Source organism: Homo sapiens, chromosome 8 (assembly GCF_000001405.40).
Source record: "Homo sapiens chromosome 8, GRCh38.p14 Primary Assembly".
Classification (NCBI taxonomy): domain Eukaryota; kingdom Metazoa; phylum Chordata; class Mammalia; order Primates; family Hominidae; genus Homo; species Homo sapiens.
Window position 1 is genome coordinate 25,929,344 of NC_000008.11, and position 16,900 is coordinate 25,946,243.

The 16,900-nt window shown below is 41.1% G+C and overlaps 1 protein-coding gene across 1 annotated transcript in view, besides 1 other annotated feature; it reads right to left on the reverse strand.

Annotated features, from left to right (window-relative positions):
- The window catches only part of EBF2 (EBF transcription factor 2), a 203,689-nt gene that overhangs the window by 87,619 nt on the left and 99,170 nt on the right, over window positions 1-16,900 (reverse strand). The gene's annotated exons all lie outside the window — the stretch shown is intronic.
- Window positions 12,879-13,389: an enhancer, noted in NCBI's record as "NANOG hESC enhancer chr8:25799738-25800248 (GRCh37/hg19 assembly coordinates)". NCBI's record gives its function as "activates a minimal SCP1, AML or CMV promoter by ChIP-STARR-seq in naive H9 embryonic stem cells {active_cell/tissue: H9 hESC(naive)}" and the evidence as "EXISTENCE:reporter gene assay evidence [ECO:0000049][PMID:30033119]".

Consider the following 16,900-nt stretch of genomic DNA (forward strand, 5'->3'; position numbering starts at 1 on the left):
CTGTTAGAGAGAGAAGTAATCAGTGCAAATTTTTTCCTTCTGAAAACATTTTGTCAGGGTCTATGGTGACTTAGAGCACTTAGTACGATGCTTATTGAGAGCAGACACTCGACGAGGCTTTTTATTGTGGGCTTACTCTGTTTTTAAGGCAAGGAGCTTCTCTATTTCAAGATTTTTTCACTATGTGCCTTCATTTCTTCCTATCGGGTACTTTTTTTTTCCACTTTTGAAATCTTCCTTAATAAACATGTGTGCTTAAAAAAAATCTTCTAAGTTCTATTCCTCTTTCAGAGCACACACAAATGCTATCTCCCTTGTAAGTCAGGATCCTTTGGTCCACAATGACTCCCTCCTTGGGACGTCTAAACACACATGAGTAAGGTCATGTTGATCCTGGTTGAGTCTTCACAGTCTTGTTCTTCACACACCTACTTCCCCATCACTGAGCTCGCCGGCCTGGCACAGATCCGGGTATCAGTGGGAAAATGGTGGAAATGGGGTAGAAAGGGCTAAGGTTTACACACAAGAGAGGGGGAAAAACAGAAGGGAAAAAGTAAGGGGGAGACCTGGGGAAGGACAATGGAGAATGAGGGTTATAGACTTTAGGGTGGCTGATGCGGGAGCCGAATGGAGAACAAAATAATGAGGCAGTATCTTATGAAGTGAATTTTCTATAATTACTTCAATGTTCTTTGAAAAATGCAGAGAAAAACTAGAACCGCTTTCAATTACTTTCAGCTGCTGAAATGTTTGGGTGTGACATCACGTTGTGGCAGGGACACATGGACTTCTGGCTTTATTCAGGTTACATCTCCAGGGCTCATCCAGAATCAGGTATACTTCTTGACCATACTACTCATTTGGGACTTAGCTATCTCCTTCGCAACTAAATGAGGACACTTGAGGAAGCTGGCTGGTAATCTTATGGTCACCTGCACTGTCTCAAGTAGTGTAGGAAAAACAGTTCTGGAAGATCTGAAGTAGAGTTCGTTACTTCATAGCTGTGTGACTTTAGGGAAGTCACTGAACCTCTCTGAGCCTCACTCATATCTATCTATAAGAATATCTACCTATAAGACAATACATGGGAAAGTGCATTGGCAACCATTAAGTGCTACATAAATGTTACCACCGCTTAGTGCCTTGCAGGGACTCATTAAAATCTTGTTGATTGATCGACTGATTAATTAACTCCAGCCAGCTTCCTTAAAAGTGTCCTCATTTAGTTGAGAAAGAGATAGCTATGGAAGTCAATGACATCCAAGAAAATCCACTCGGCTTGACAGCAGCCTCATTCAAGGGACTTTTAGGTTTATAAATGTACTTGCAAACAAACCTCTTTCTGTTGCTCAATGACTAGCTTTGGTTGGGATGATGAGATCTGCCAGAAGTAATGAGACTGTCATTTTGGCTACCTGTACATTTGAGGATGAAAGAGGCTTGATTCCAGAAATCCAAATGAAGAAGTTAGGGATGCCAACCTCCAGGCCATCTCTGGACACACAGTAGGCATATAGAACAACACTGAGGATTGGATTGAGTCTTAAATCCAGCAATCCCCCTCTATCACTGAGTATGATGGACTGCCTGGTAAGATTTTCATGAAACATCTCAGAGATTATATGGCCTCATAAAAACAAAAATGACTTGAAGTTGAACAGAGTTGAAGCGAATGAAACTTCAAACTAAATTTTTATTGAAATTCTCCCCATTGTCAGACGATATTTTCAATGTTCATTTCCCTGCCTCAGCCCATTTTGCCATAGAAACTTGGATGTTTTCATTGAACAGCAGCCAGTGAACACTGGACTGAAGGGGCACACTATAAATTTGGAAAAATAAATAAATGCTTCAGAACTTCCACTTGAAAACCACAGCTAAAAATGAAATCAAATCTGACCCACCCCTTTTCTTTTAAATTGTGGGAACAGACTCAGTCTGCCTCAATCTTTAAGCACATATAAAATTTAATATTAATATAAGCACCTTGGAGATCAATGCATGGCCTGGTCTAAAGCAATTGTGGAGCCTTTGACTCAAGCAGCAAGGTTTGGACGACTTGAACCAGAAGATAGCATCCTTCCTATGCCATGTTCCTTAATAAACATGTGTGCTTAAAAAATAAAAAGGGAAGAAAAATTGGTTTATGGGCATAGAGAGAATAATTCACTCCAAATTGCTCCTTTGATGAATGTGGACAAAAAGAATAAAATTTGTCACCTAGCTAATATTACCATCAATATTTTGTCCAGCTACATTCCTTCCAATTTAAAAACAGTTCAATATCCCTTTTACCTTCAAGTAGCAGCACTTAATAAACAGTGATGGATGGTTTTTATTTTTGTTCGCATTTCAGTCTTCCCTGCTTTGGTACAAGGGGACTATTTTGCTTGGGGGAAATGTAGATCTTCCATCTTTCGTCCATTGACATGCACGCCTCAAGGAAAGACGGCCATATTTAATTCATAACGCCCATCGGCTACACAAACATACAACTTCCCATCAATTAGGCAACACAGAGATGTTGTTAAAAATCAATGAGCTTATTATTAAATATATTTTTTTCATGTAGCAATAATAGTTATTGCTGCACTATTGTTATTACTGCAATGTCAGCTGTTTAGGCAGCTTTCAGAGAGTTTGATTGGCTTTGATCTTGCTAGCAAGGCATTCTATGAAACAAGGGATCTGGGTGAGGCTTCCCTGCTCTGTCTTCTGCCATATTGAGAAGCCACCAGGAGAAGGGGGAAAATGTATGATGTAGTGGAACAAACCTTGGACTGGAGGCAGAAGACCTGGGTTCTAGTCCCAGAACTGCACATAACTAGCTGTGCGACCTTAGGTAAGTCCTTCCTCCATTCTAAGCCTTAGTTTCCTCATTTATAAAAATGAGAGGTTTATGATAAGTGATCATTAGGACCCCTCCATTCTAAATTTTCAGACTCTTCAACCATTTTTTTAACTAGGAAAGGAAACAGGTTGAAATTGATGCAATTCAGCAACTCTCAATTGTTCCTCATCAAAAGTCTCTTGATTAAAAAAAAAAAAAAGAACGGGCAGCGTACGGGATGCTACTGAATCTGGAGCAGACATTAAATTGATCCAAAACCCAAATATGCTCCTATTTGTGTTTTCATCCTCGTTGTGTGTTTATTAAAAATAATTTTGATATTTTGACACTTACCACTACGGCAGAAGCCTCCTGCCTACAAACAGAGATGTTAAAACTGTGCCAGCACATGCAAAGGTTAAAAACAACATTGCACAGATTTTGGCAACTACATCATATGCTGTCTGGCCGCAGCTGATCTGAACTGAGTCCCCCGTAATTACAGGAGAAGGTGGAACAGGTTTGCCGCTAATTGGAAAATTCTGCAAATGGCAGCACTGAAGTAAATTGACAGTCGTTAGAATATTAGCAAAATGAGAGTACTGATTAGTAAAAAGCTCAGAAGCAGACTTTTTTTTTTTACTGCCAGAATCTACTGGCAAAATTGATAATAAAAGCTGAACTTAATAATAACAGCTGTTATTTGACCTGGTAATATTTTTTTTAATCTGTTGCTGTTCCCAGACCAATAACACATAAAGAAGGTCTGTATCCACTGTTGCAAAATTATTTGAATACCAAAAGGTATATTCAAACTCAGTGAAGGCAAACTGTGCTTAAAGGGGCAGCCCATCAGTAGCACGTTCTGATGGAAGTGCATTCACTGGAAACGTTGTGAGTTGTTTTGTTTTCTCCCCCTTCCAACAGGTCTCGTAGGCATGCTGGAGCGTTCGCGTGTCCTTTTTAGAACTGGGCCTGGATTCTATTTCCAGTTTGCTTTAAATCTGTGACTGCTAAAAATGTCAAAGTTAACTTATTTTTCATTTTAAAGTGGACAGGAAGGAAAGTAGGACATTGCTGGACTCTGAACCATCTATCAGCGCTGAGCTGTTGATGGTATTTTTCAGTCACTGCATGCAGAGAAATACAGATGGGAAAGCATTAAGAATGGACATATTAATTAGACATGCTGCCACGAATCTACGGAAAAGGGACCGTAGCTTCACCACACAGACTTCCACCTTATGGGGACACACAGGAATATGCCCTAAAGACTTCCATTTTGGGAACTCTGATCCACAGCTGGTGGGAGTATAAATTAGTTCAATCTTTCTGGCTGTATGGCGATATAGATCAAAAGTCTTAAAAATGCATACAGCCTTTGACCCCGCAATTCTATTTTAAGGATTTGTCCAAAAAAAGAGTCATGGATATACCCAAAGCTTTATCTACAAAAGATGTTCCTTGCAGCATTGTTTATAATAAATACGATGGTGGAAAACAAATTTGTCCCCAAATGGATAATTGACTATGATATACAAAGAAATACTACATAATTATTTAAATTATGTTATAGAATAACATCTAATAATACCAAGAGATAGTCTAGTATAAAAAAATACGAAACAGTAAACATAAGATTATCACATTTTTGTTTAAATACAGAGAGAGATAAGAGACAAAACTGGAATAATTACCAATTATTTCTGAGCGGTAAGTTACTGGGCCATTTTCATTTTATTTGTCCATATTTTCTAAATTTTCTAAAATGACCATACATTGTTTGGGTCAGAAGAAAATACATAAATTAATTTTAAAGATAAAATCTCTCTAGAGGGTTTTGGTTGTTTTAAGTAAAAATTCAATCTGTGGCAATGGGAAGGAAAGTCTGCATTCCTGAATGGTGTGCTGGCTTCTTGACTTAAAGCTTCACTGCCTTACATGATGGAAGTGCACCTCCCTTTGAGGGAAAAAGAATGGTCAGCTAAGAGCAAATCTTAGGACTCCAGGTGAAGGACCAGGCTGCTGCTTATTGTTGACTTCATGTGCATACACACACACACACACACACACACACACACACACACACACACACACACACACCAATCTTGTTTTTGATATCTGTTCTCTGAAAACATAGGTCAGCAATACTTCAGGCCTTTAGAAAGACGGATTTCCCTTTATGACTTTTGACTTCATCCTCTGATAATTCTGCTATTTTATTTTGCCCTTATTGTGGTACCCACAACCTCATTTATTCTGAAACACTGCAGGAAGACATCATTGCCGTTTTCAAATTTTGTCTCTCCACCAGTCATTTGGAAGGGAAGAGAGTTGGAAGCACACGAATCCAAATTCAGCCCATGGACTCACAAAATAGACTCTGTCCATGTCGTATCACAAGTCGAGTTTACTGCTAATAGAGGCGGTCCTGCTGCATAGGGCCCTATTCACCGGTCTCTGCATGCTCAACCAAAGTGACACAATGTGCATGGCTGGAGCTCGCACGACACTCCCTGTACTTGAACATCGGCCAGGAAGTTGAGTGAGAGTGTGACACTTCAGAGGTGCCTTAGAGCACACGTACGTTTGCCGGGGCAATGACGTATGCATCCCGTATCCCATCAGGTCTGCTTTTTGAAAAAATCCTTATTAATATCCTACGGCGCCATTGCCAAAAACACAAAATCCCAAAGGCAAATCCCCTACGTTCTAGCACTGCCAGAACTAGTACCACCAGGCTTTGCTCAGGGACTGCGAACTGCCGCAGTTGCTTCTAGCAAGGAGCACCAAGCCCACCCCATTAGCTTCAGCCACAGGACCAAGCGACTTGCAAGCTGTTTCTCGCCAGGAGTGTGGGTGGGCAGCGGGCAGGATCCCAACGCGACAACTAGACTCAATTGACTGTAACCCAGAAATTTTTTTTAAGTGGCTTTTTTGGATGGTGGTACCCAAGGCCCCCCATCCTTCATTCTTCCTAACAGTTATGCATCAGGAAAACAAAGCGATGGAGGGGGAAGTGGGGGTGTTGCTGCAGCCAGTTGGTGCCAAATACAGTTAAGGATGGAGAGGGAGGTGGGATTGGAAAGGGGGGGAAAAGCAAGTCACTTTCAATCAAGTGTCACACCTTTAAATAGTGGTTAAATCTTTGCATTATGCAGCTCATCCCTTTACAACATGGGGTTCCCTTAGAGAATTCCCTGTTTACACTGGGAATTCCTCCAGGGCCGCATCAATAAAGCTGAACAGATGTCAGGGTGGAATGCCAGCGGCAGTGGCTGTTGTCAGGGGTACTGGGGAGGGAGGCACAGAACAATGAGAAACGGCATCTGCTACACAAAGCCCTTGCGCGTGGGTCAGGTTCTGCCAGTGTGTAGGGATTCCACCCTACCCTTTGTCTGGGCACATTGCCTTTCTTGTTTCTCAATGACAAGGGTTGACACATGTCACCCGGCCCTATCAGGAGTGTTATTTGTTTGCCACTTGCATATGCACCAGTGTTCCTGACCTTCCCCGCATCTCTGCTGAATGCACCCAGCAAAGCTGAAACTCTCCAGCCCTGCCCCAATCTATGATTTCATTATGCACTTTGAGTCGAAAGTGGGATGTAGATGTCCTTCTTTTTAATTAAAAACATGATTGATGAGATTTAACTGACAGTAGGAAATGCAATTTAAATATTCCTTAAAGAGGCACTAACCCTGTTTGTGTGGCAAGGCTTGCGTGGCTTTCCAAAGTTGCGACCGGTGGGAGAAAGGAAATTAAAATAAAAGCCCGTTCAAGTCCGCTCGGCTGTGGAAGGGTGGTAACGTTAGACAGAAATTGCAGCCGTGTAACCAGAAACTTCTGCGCATTAGGAGCCGATGTGAAGTGTTGCTCAGGAATGGCAGTGTTCAGTGTGGTTAGAGGCAGCAGAGGAGTAGAGAAGAGTATGCTATGAAATCATGTGGAAGCAAAACAGGCTAATTCACCACATTTTTAAAGCAACAATCTGATCCCAAAAGACATTATACTAAAACTCTCCCTGCTCTGCAAAAGTGGTTTTGCTCCTCACTGCTGTATTGCTGAATTTATCTTTGGCTCCTCTATTGAGCTTTCCTTAAACTGTCCTTTTAAAATTTCCATTATAAGAAAAGTCCTTAGCACCCCCGATGCTCCAGGACGTGGGCTGCAGTTCTAAGGCAAACAGGAAAGCAGGCACCACTTTTTATAAAGGCCTTCTCAGATTTGTTCCCTTAGTGACTGCTAAATTATTATGGGAAATTATGTGAGCCACAGGATATAGCAATATCCAAACCATGGGAACCCCAAATTGTAATAATCAGAGGCAGGAGTAAGTTTTTCTAATGACCAGGACTTTGCACTGGTATTTTCAATCTAGAAATATTGGATGAAGTTGAGTATTAGTCTGTACCATAACAGTATAACTTAAATGCCAACAACAATAGCAGTTTAAATTTTATTATAGAACTAGATCTCTGTTCTCTTTCTTAGTATCATTTACAAGAGGGTTTCGTTGTTGTTGTTGTTTTGTTTTGGGATGTTATGTCTTCCATGGAAGTAGTTATTTTCTGAGAAATGATAACTGTGAATTTAAAAAAGGTTAATACTTTCCTAAAAGTATATATAAGAATAGCCTTGTCTACACTCTGGAGGCTTACTAAAAGTATCATCTTCATCTGTGTTTCATGCCTAAAGATTTTATTCTAGAATTTCAAAATCCCTTAAAAAGCAACAGATACCACACACAGTATAGTTCTTCTCCACTTAATTCCTATTAAAGACCGATAAAAAGAAAAGCTTTTATTGAAATGCTTGGGTTAGAGGAAACGGGATTACAATTGGAGCTGATTTTTGGTAAGTATTTAACTAGCAAAGGTTAATTAGAATTGTAACAATGAGATGTAAGAGAACACATTCTGATCGATTGATTAATGAGATGTCAGAAGGTATAAGAATCCACCTTTGGGAGAAATATTAAAAATGAAATGTGTTTGCAAAGCCATGATGTCTTTTCTCTTCATTTATTAACACAAGAAGCAACCGTGGATGTTTTTCCATGGGTAACAATGTACAGAAAATTACGATCTCCAAGTTGGCCAAAAGCAGCACCAACATGTTACCCAAGTCTCTACCATCCAAAAATGTCCCCGACACCCATACAAGGGAACAAAGTTTCTAGAAGAGGCCAAACTCTCAGCAGCCCTCCCTGTAGTGACTTTCTATCTCCCCTCTATTCTCTCTGCATTATATATTCAGATTAATTTAATGAATGACTCATTTCAAAATCCTAGGCTTAAAATTATTACCATAGAACATTATAAAATGCCTATTCTGGATTTATTGTTTCATCAATCTGGTATCAATTTCACTATTGACATGGGCGATGGGGCGGGGGAGAGGGTACTGTACACGTTTTTCCTTCCTCATTTGACTACACTGGTAAGCAAACAGATCTTCCTATTTGTGGCATAGATGTTCTTTGTCACAATAAACCACAGTATATTATGTTTATATATGTCCTTCAAGCATGTCACAACAGTTTGGCATTCTGAGTGGCTCTACCACTGTGTACATTAAATAGTCATGTAGTTACATTAAACAGTGGGGAGTTCACACTTCACAAGCACTTGGTGTTTTAAAACAGATGTGGGCTGTCTGTTGTCAGACTCCAGTGAAAAAGCTTAGAAGAGACTTGGTGGGAACATAATCTTCAAATAGCTGAGGGCTCCCCAAATTTTCCACCCAAGTTCGCTTTACCTCCATACTACAGAGTGTGGGGGTGAAAAAGATGATGGGAAAAGAAAGAGAAAAAAAGGAAGAAAAAAAGCAGTAACTTTTATGTCTTATAGTACAGAGATCTGAAAAAAAGGATTCAGAATTCGGAATAGTTTGTGGCATGGAATATTTTGAGCAGGGTGGGCTCGCTGGGGTGTCGTGGGATTTACTGACAGGAGAATTTTTGACAGTTGATGGACAGATGAATTCCGTCATGGAAGCGTTAGTGGAAAGCAGCAAGGCCAGATGGAAACTCACAGCTTGTCTTTAATATTAATTTTCTTTTTTTTCAAGAGATCAGAATTCCCTAATTCCCTAAAATGTTTCAATGCATCTTGAGGTATTATTTTTCAGATGCCTTTCTCCACCTATTCTTAGTAAGAATGTTCCTTTGTGTTAATGTTATTTTTCCTCTCTTACTTTGAAAAAAAAAAAGCCTAGTTTTTTTTTTGTCTTTCAGTTTTTTTCTTGCTCTAGTTGGACAGCTGTTAAAATTCTTCCTTCATTTACAGCCAATATAGAAGACAAATACCTTAACCGTGTAAGATACTAAGTCTAAATATGAGAAATACATCTGAAACAATCGTGACTTTGAGCTATGATCATTGACAGAAATCATGATAAGATTTTCTTTGTGCCTTAATGAAAGGCATAATTCTTCATGCTTTCATAAGGATGGAAGGGACCACTGTTTTTAGGGTGTCCGTCTTCCGGGCAGTAAGAAGGAAGTCAAATACTCTGCTCAGGGATGCAGTAAAAAGAACCCTGGACTAAGACTCCAGGGCTGGATTCTAGTCTTGGCTCTGCTGAATGGTGGGTCACAAGTCCCTGTGATGTGGGGGGCCTCAATTTCATTACTTGGAAAATATGGCTGGTATTGGGAGAAGGACAGGGGTTCCTAAGTCACCTGCACACCTCTCTCTCTAGGATGCTACAAAATCTTCCAAAGCACAAAGCTCACCATTCACGTCAAGGAGTCAAGGACTGTTGCTCTTCTTCCTCTTACAGCTGAGCTTCCCAGAGACCTGGGAACCCCTCCATGGACAGTTAGGAAATGGGACAGTCTCTCCCTTTTCCCTGTTGTTCTACACAAACTTCACTACTGTGCATTTTTCTATGTGGTAACTTCATGCTCAAGACAAAAATCAAAAACTAAAAAATCAGCAACCAAGGATGATATTCCATATCCTATCCAAACAAAGCTCAAATTCTGCAAACTTTTCCATTCTGTGATCTTCTTTTCTTAGTTCCTTTCTTTTACATCACTAGATTTACTTGAGTTGAGAACATTGCTTTAAAACTTAGAGATATTTCTTCTATGTTTACATATAATCTATTTTCCTGACATTGTTTCAAGCTTAATGGAAAAAACTTAACATGTGACAGCTTTTCCTAGAGTTTCCTGACACATCACTCTGGTTACATATTGGGTCTCCGTGTGCGTGTGTATGTGTGTGTGTTTTGCATTTGTGTTTGCGTCCGTGTGTGTTTGTGTGTGCACTAGTGTGATTGTGAGTCAGTCTGGGTCAGCCCAAAAAACCTTTTACAATTAATGTAATGAAAACATTTGGCTAAACAGAAGACTCTAAAACAAAGCAATGAATTGTGCTTATTGGTAAAATGGAACAGGGGCTTCTCTGCATAAGTTCAGAGACTATTTCTGTGTGGCTCAGGAGGGTTAAGAAACAACCTCAAACCCCTACAGCTCCAAGTTCCCATCATACTCTAATGTGTCCCTCTATGTGACCAGGGACAAATCACTTAACTTTTGTTCTTTCTCCTTATCTGTGAATCAGGGAAAGAATAATTAACAAAGAGAGGAGTTTGAGATAAAGCTGATTACTGATTGCTTTGGAGTGTTCACAGTTCCAGAGAACAGAAATGAGGGCCAGTAGGTAGGATTTACCAGGGAGCAGATCTGATTCAATATGAGAAAAACCTGTGAAAGTATGATACTGCTCAAAATCAAAACAGACTGCCTTGTTAGGCATGATTTCCCCATCATGATAAAGAACCCATTGTCAAGGGTGCCATAAAGAGAATTTTTGCATGACTTAGTAGGCTGGAGCAAATGATATCTAAGCCCCTTCCAATATATTATACACCTGTTGATTATAAACACATAGCTAGCCAATAGGGTATTTCACAAAAACACTTGGCAATATCATGATGAAAGAATAGACTATTAGAACTGGAAGAGACCTTAAGGAAAAAGAGATACGGGCAGCCCCTACATTCTACTAAAGCTAGTGGCAGAACCAGGGTTGCTATGACTTATGTTTGAAGAGTATTTTACACAACAGTTTTTCATATACCTCTTCTGAGCCTCACAGTAGTCTTCTGAGGTAGGAATTACTAGCTGCGCATTTTACTGATGCAGAAACCAAGGACAGGGAGTTGACGTGACTTGCCTATATCCCCATAGATAGCAAGTGGAAGAGTCAAGGCTGGAACTCAGGGCAGACCCCATGCAGGAGACTTGTTCCTTTGACACTTTTCTTTCCAGGATCTCTGAATAGTTCTCACTTAGTCTTAGTTATTTCCTGCCACATCCCAGAGATATGTAACATTATTAGCCATAGAGGTTCATCAGTTACCAGAGATAGAAAGCAACCTCTGTGATCATTTCCTTCCATCTTCATTTTACCAAAAAATAAAAATGAAAAAATTAAAAAAAAAAATAAAAAAAAAACCACAAAACCAAGGCTTGGAGCAGTCATCTTCTTAGTGGGCCATCCAAAATGAAAACTTTGATTTCTGCTTGATTCCTCAAAGATCTTAAATAGGCAACCCACCCACTTGATCTGGCAAATAATGATTTAAACCAGGTGAATGCAAGAATGATTTCATTCATTGCATTTTCCATGTGCCTCTTGAGGGAAGGCATGTGGAATATGTATATACAGAGACAGACCCCCAGCCACCAGTGCCTCCCCCTTCCCCCAAAACACGGTAGACTAGTAAATGTTTGCTAGCTATTTGCAAGGCTGACAGCAGGGATTATTTTTCCCATGTGCCAAACAACTTCATCCTAGAGGAAATATTTCACTCTGGCAAGATTTAATAACAATTATAAGGATCCTTTTTATTGATAGGGCACTCTATGTCTAAAACATATTTTCATGCATTGGGAGTATGACATCAAATCTCATGAGTATGGAGAGTGGAAGGCAACTAATGGCAGCAGTAGTGGCTACTCCTCTGCAGTCCCTGGGGCCTCCCCACCCCCAAGCCCCAAAGTGATTGCTGCTCCCCCATCTTTTTTTTTTTTCGAGACAGGGTCTTGCTCTGCTGCCCAGGCTGGAGTGCAGTGGAGCAATCTTGGTTCACTGCAACCTCCGCCTCCCGGGTTCAAGTGATTCTCCTGCCTCAGCCTCCTGAGTAGCTGGGATTACAGGTGCCTGCCACCATGCCTGGCTAATTTTTGTATTTTTAGTAGAGACAGGGTTTTGCCACGTTCGTCAGGCTGGTCTCGAACTCCTGGCCTCAAGTGATCTGCCCACCTCGGCCTCCCAAAGCGCTGCGATTACAGGCGTGAGCCACTATGCCCAGCTGTGCTCTCCCTCCTTTCTGCTCATCTTTCCCGTCTGACTCTTTTTGGGGAATGGGATGATAGTACCACAGATTAGCAAAGGAGTCCAGAAAAGAAGGTGCAATGGGAACCATGACTCCTCCTCCATCTGAGCCCCTAGTCTGTGCCCTAAGCTACGGAGGAGTGTGAAAGACACGCAGACTGACCAGAAGGGTTCCTCAGCAGTCCTGGACCACTGGCTGCTGTCAGAGAGCCCGACCCACACCCATACCTGCCCCTACAGGTGCTGCTCCTCCTCCTCCCCTGCTATATAAAACCTCCTGCTCTCGCTAATTCATTATTTATGACACCCTGATAAACACGTGGAAATGCAATGTGGATGTTCAAAGGGAACCATTCCCATTCCTAAGATGGCCCAGGGTTCTCGTCCATTTTAGTCCATGCTGTGGCTTAATAATGGATCACTTCTTCAGTCAACAAACAATTACTTGAGTATCTATTACCTGAAGCACTGTGCTAGAGGCTGGAAATAGAAAACCATGTTCCCGTCCTCAGGGAACTCCCTGTCCAGTGAGCATGAACACTGGGGGAAAATTGTAAGAGGATGATGTACTGAGTCCCTAGACAGAGGTGAGCACAGAGAGCACCGGAAACACGCAGGGGGAAGCACAAGCCCCATCTGGGAACATGCAATGGTTCTCACATGCCTTCCCATTGGAAAACTAGACATTTAAAATCTACCTCCAGCAACCTGTATTCTTTAAGGTTTTTTATTGGTACAAATGTATGGAGTACATGTGCAATTCTATCAGATGTACATAATGCATAGTGATCAAGTCAGTGTATTTAGGGCACTTAGAGTGTCCACACTGCTCCTCCCAGCAAAGAGAAAGTCTTCAGGCTGCAGAGTCCTGGAACTACATTGTTTTCCTTCTCCCTTTGCTGTGAGCAGCATTCCACCAGTACTTGGGATTTTCACAGCCTTTTACAGTCATTAGTAAATGGACACAATGTCCCCTTGGGGCCTATCCCCCTTATGGAGAGGCTCCATGGAGATTAACTGCTGTCTTAGGTCACTGGGGCAGAGTCTAACCCCAGCCCCCTCCTCAGGCGGCTTTAGAGTGACATATATGGCAAAGTCATTCTGGCAACAAAAACTGAAAGGCTTGTCTAACTCGACTTCAGCCTAAATTGGAGATTCTGCACATATCTCGTTTCCTTGACAGTAAAGTGAGGAGTTTGGAGTGGCCAAGGTGCAGAGCAGCTGTGAAAACCGGAACAGCCTTCGTTCCTGCGGGCTCGCCTACCTCCCCAGCTAGGGCCTCCTCCTTCCTTGGCACCATAGAGCTTAATGAGAATTTTCCACGCTCTTCTGCTGTTCACAGGCCTCTTTGCAGATTTTTGCATGGAATGAACTACAGGACATGTCACTGATGAGTGCGTGGTGCATGGTCTACCTCAGTGCAGTGGTAACCTCCTGGAGCTCAGGATTTCCCTCCGTGAAACCTATGTGAAAACTAGAGCTTATTCTAATGCGAAAGTTCCCAGGGCTCTTCTCCCTTCAAGCCTGAGCACATTGTCTCAACTCTGCAGGGTCTGAATTGAGTGAATAGTTAAATACTTGTTTCTCCTATGGAACAAAATTGTTAAACTAGAAGAAACTTCAGAGGCCACCTAGTTGAAACATCTCATTTAAAACAAGGCCAGGCGGGATGGCTCATGCCTGTAATCTCAGGGTTTTGGGAGGCCAAGGTGGAAGGATTGCTTGAGGCCAAGAGTTGGAGACCAGCCTGGGCAACATAGCAAGACATAACCCCTGTCTCTACACAAAAAAAAAAAAAAAAAAAAAAGAAAGAAAGAAAGAGAAAGAAAAAAATTTAGTCGGGCATGCTGATGCATACCTGTAGTTCCAGCTACTTGGGAGGCTGAGACAGGAGAATCTCTTGAACCCAGGAGTTTGAGGCTACAGTAAGTTATGATCATGCCACTGCACTCCAGTCTGGACAACAGAGCTAGACCCTGTCTCTCAAAAAAAAATTTTTTTAAATAAATGTTTAAAACCTGAGGGTTCCTGACTCCTAGTTCTATGTCCTTTTCTCTATACCACCCTGCTAGCACAGAATCTTGTACCTGGTTCACCCTCAGAAAACATGGTGACTGCTTTAGTTCCAGGGACCTTCCCCATGGGTTAGGTAAAACTCCTCGTCCCTTAAAACGGCAACTGTGGAGGTTAGCTGGGGAGCCTTGACAACCCCAGAAAAATACAGTTCTCCCCAGTATAATTCTCAGCTGAAACATCAAAACACTATCAAAGGGGCTTACTTTGATTTGGAACGTCATTTTCCTCCCTCCCATTTTTTTTGTTGGAAATACATAGAGCCGAATAAGATACCAGATAATCCCCAAGACTGCCCTGATAGCTTGAGGCCTCACAAATGTCTGTCAGCTTTCAGCCAGAGGGAGAAAACCTAGGTGAGAACAGGGTCCCAGTTGTGTCCCAGACTCGTGGTCTCCAACCATCCCCGGAAATGGGCTCTTATCTGAACAGATGAGCTTTATGAAAGAGGAAATCTCCATTTCAAAAAGTCAACTCCTTATAGTTTTCTATTTAAGTTATGCTAAGCACTTGTGTATGGCTGATATTTGGTACTCTACGGAGATAAGAGAAAAAGCATAGGGCAGGGTTCCAGCTCTGGAAGGAGCTACGAGCTAATGGAAGGAAAAGACATAGATGATAGCAAGCTAGAAATGAACTCATATCCTAAAGTTTATAAACATCTCTTTATAACCTAGCATTCCACCAAAGTGATCTCCCTCATCTCTAGACTTGTAAGAGCATCTCTTACTTACATCTCCCTTCAGACGGCCATTGTCTTGCCTGGTGAGCCAGCTCATCCCTTGGGGGCCTCAGTCTTCACTCCCCTGATAAGACTAGAAGTTTTTGCAGGCAGAGGTCAATGTATACGGTTTGAAATCCCTTTGGCATCTAGCACAGGACTTTCTACATGGTAGGCATTCAAATAAATATATATTTGAAAATTGTATAGTCTATAATATTATAGAATATATACACAATTATTTATATATTGAATATATTACAATATTAATACAGTCTATAAATTATATTGCATATAATCTACAATATACATTATATAATTATATATGATATTAACATATAATTACATATTGTATATTATATAATATATAAATTATATTATGTATAATTATATATACATATGATTATATGTACACAATAACAATTATATTGTATATATAATTATATATTATATTGTGTATATAATTATACATGTATATGTATTTATATACACACTTATATAGACATACACATATATACACATATGGTGATTTAATTATTACATGCAGTTGTATACACAGTTATGGAGTCAGTGGTATCTGATAAGTGGCCTCTGATAAGACAGGATACCAGTGTTCAGGACTGCTCTTGACAAAGTTGTTTAACCCTCTGGGCTTTAGATTTTTCAAAAGTAAAACAAAGCAATGGACTAGATTTTAAGGCCAAAGGGTTTGATGCCTGCTCTTATTCCATGGGACAATTATTCAAGCGTGAAAAGATTGTTCTGTTGCCCCCCCCGCCCCACCCCAGACTCCTATGTTCCAAGCTTCTTCAGGCCTTGTGACCTGAGCTACAGTTCCTGTCACCTGACTTCATAGCCTGCATGATTCCAACTGCTCCCCCAATTTTTCAGTATTCTTCTGCTATATCCCCCAAGTTGAACTCAATACCTGTATTTTATTTCACATGAGTTTCTATTAAGCTATATCTCCCCCATTCTATATTTATATAGTACTATAGTTCAGACCAGAAAATTTCTAGCATTTCTTCCCCTCTGCAACTCCGTGGGTAGCTGGGCTAAGGGAACCCAGGCAAAGATGCCTCCCTTGTCTGCATTTTTTCTATATTTTTTTCTCTGGCTCTTGGCCTGAATGAAGCATCTTGCATCACCTGGTTAGAGAAGTAAAAAGAGCCTCCCTAGGTTTGCTCAATACTGAGGGTGTCTCTTGTCCCAAGTACCGATACATGGGAGGAATGGCATCATTCACACAGAACCAACTATTTCTTTCTTCCTCTTTCTGTAGACCTCTTCTGCTTGGTCTGTTTGGTTTCGGGGGTACAATGAGAGCCTGTGGAATTTGTTTCTGATAATGCAATCCTTTGAATGTCCCTGAATAATAGGTCTGTCACTGAAATTATGAAAAGAAAATGCAGAGTTGGAGGGAAGGTGGTTCTGATTCCAGCTCTGTTAAATTTTTACTGCTGCTGGAGGGTGGCTAAATTGATCAGCAGAGACAGAATTTATATTTTTGGAGCTTTAGAAGCACTCAGGACTCCTAAACCTATTGAAACGGTCTTTCATTCTAAAGGTGGGAGAACTTTTTACTATTAATAAAGAATGCTGAAGTCTGGTTTCAGAATGAGCAAGGAGTTGGAACTGGAAGGACTCTCCAGGGTGGCAGAACAGCTACCACCTAGGCAGTCTGCCTGTCGGAGCAACAGGAAGTTATCCCAGACTACAGCCACTTCTCTCACTGCCTGGCGTGATGGGGAAATGCCACTGTCAGAAGTAATCATTTCTGATAATGAGTTCTTCAACTTCTAGAATCTCCCGTTAAAGCTCTAAACTCACTTAGAACAGCCAAATCTCCTATGCCTTTCTCATCAATCACTGTATGTGGAATGAGGCAATAACTAAGAAGAAAATCACTTTGGGAGTGGGGCA